General features: G+C 36.1%; 1 annotated feature.

Moving 5' to 3' along the window:
• Positions 1,403-1,934: an enhancer, noted in NCBI's record as "OCT4-NANOG hESC enhancer chr4:131934342-131934873 (GRCh37/hg19 assembly coordinates)". NCBI's record gives its function as "activates a minimal SCP1, AML or CMV promoter by ChIP-STARR-seq in naive H9 embryonic stem cells {active_cell/tissue: H9 hESC(naive)}" and the evidence as "EXISTENCE:reporter gene assay evidence [ECO:0000049][PMID:30033119]".

A 2,312-nucleotide genomic window follows, 5' to 3' on the forward strand; every position in this document is an offset into this window, starting at 1 on the left:
ACCATCCTTAATCCCACTCGAAGCAGCCTTGAGAAACATTGCCCATTATCTCTCCATACCACCCCCAAAATTTTTGCTGCCCCAACACTTCAACACTATTTTATGTTATTTTTCTTATTAATATAAGAAGACGGGAATGTCAGGCCTCTGAGCCCAAGCTAAGCCATCATATCCCCTGTGACCTGCATGTATACATCCAGATGGCCTGAAGTAACTGAAAAATCACAAAAAAAAGTGAAAATGGCCTGTTCCTGCCTTAACTGATGACATTACCTTGTGAAATTCCTTCTCCTGGCTCATCCTGGCTCAAAAGCTCCCCTACTGAGCACCTTGTGTCCCCCGCCCCTGCCTGCTAAAGAACAACCCTCTTTGACTGTAATTTTCCTTTACCTAGCCAAATCCTATAAAACAGCCCCACCTCTATCTCCCTTCACTGACTCTCTTTTCAGACTCAGTCCCCCTGCACCCAGGTGAAATAAACAGCCTTGTTGCTCACACAAAGCCTGTTTGGTGGTCTCTTAACACGGACGTGAGTGAAACTCGGAACTAAAATAATCATGGTTTTATATATACATGCATACACAAGCAAAGGCAGAGGAGAATAAACAGCAAATGAATGAAAACTCAAAGCAAAAATAAATAAGCAGGAAACCAACCCTAAATTATCCTACTCAACTTACCCTGGAGGTTACAGTGTTACCTAGGACCTCAAAAAACCCACATAATGGATATTTTGTTCCTCATACTTAATTCAATATGCTTAAGTTTACCAATATCATTATACATTCTATGCAATCAAGAAATTCATTTTAGGCACATGACTAATAAGTACTCTAGCACTTTCCACACGAAACTGTAAAAATAGTGTGAAGTAATGCAAACATGTATGTGAAATTTGACTCAACACTAAATCCAGCTTCATGCTTAACTATAGTAGAAAAAGAATTGCCAAACTGCTGATGCATTTTCATAATACTTCTTATTTAACTTTAATCAAGACTAAGAGCTTTAACTACGAAAATGTTAATTAGCCAAATGTCTCCAAACTGCTATCAGATTTTAAAGAATATTTTATTATTTAAACTTTTCCACATCTTTCTCCCCTACTTAATGATTCCTCACTACATCATTTCATAAATAACCTTTTCAAATCTGTAATTTGAACTAACTTTTAGATAACTTCTGAATTAGACAAAATTATTCCTTTTTTTCACTAATAACATAAGCCTTTCTGGCACATTTTCTATACAGAATTACGTGTGAACTAAATTTTTTATCCTTAGTAACAGAAAACTTTAGTGAAACCCTAAAAAGGAAGAAATCTTGAACTATGAAGATAAGGACATTTATAGATAAGAACAAGTCCACAATTTTAGAAATATATTTGTCTATATTACAACTCTTTATTAATTGGAAATGATCCAGATATAAAACAAGCATTAAAAATATCTTTAAGATTTTAATTTACACAAAAGGTTTACCTAAAACAATTATCCTATTCACTGTACTTAGTTTTTTACTTTTAACAAAGGAGACTTGAAATATCAATCAACATATGTAAAACAAATATTGGTTTGGTCCTGGAAAGGCAGGACAATTCAAGGTGAGGAGGGGACTTGGGGGTTCTCAGATCACAGGTGGGAGACCTACAGTTGCATTCTTTTGAGTTTCTGATTACCCTTTCCAAAGGAAGCAATCAGATATGCATTTATCTCAGTGAGACTTTGAATAGAATGGGAGGCAGGCTCGTCCCAAGCAGCTCCCAGCTTGAATTAACACTGACATTTAAAAATATCTAGCAAAGACAAAACATAAAATTCAGACAAAATGTATGCTGACAATTCTGAAGGCCTTTCTATTTTTATTCCACCAATAATTTTAAAGCTAGCCTGTTTAGTAAAGTTATACTTAGGTCACGTGAACTTGAAAATTGCTTAGACATATTTACTTAATTTATGAGTGCTCTTTTGCTTATAAGCCAATTTGGTACACACAACATATAACAGTAAGTGTACATACAAATAAACACATCTAGACATGTATTCACACACACAAATGAAGATTCAATAGCTGGGAACCTTAGCCATAAGATAGCAATACAAGCTTTCCGGTTTTACTTTGACCCAATAGGTAATCCAAGGAAGGCTGGGAACCAAAATTTCGGGTAAAGCAGTCTCCATGGCAGTTTGAGTTTTAAAGTAAACCTCCCCATACTCCAAGGAGCACTGGGGCCAAACAGTACCAAAGGAGGGCATCACATATTAGCCAGGCACCCTGCTTACAATAGCAGCACAAAAGCGTGGATACATGCA

This window comes from Homo sapiens, chromosome 4 (genome assembly GCF_000001405.40).
Source record: "Homo sapiens chromosome 4, GRCh38.p14 Primary Assembly".
Classification (NCBI taxonomy): domain Eukaryota; kingdom Metazoa; phylum Chordata; class Mammalia; order Primates; family Hominidae; genus Homo; species Homo sapiens.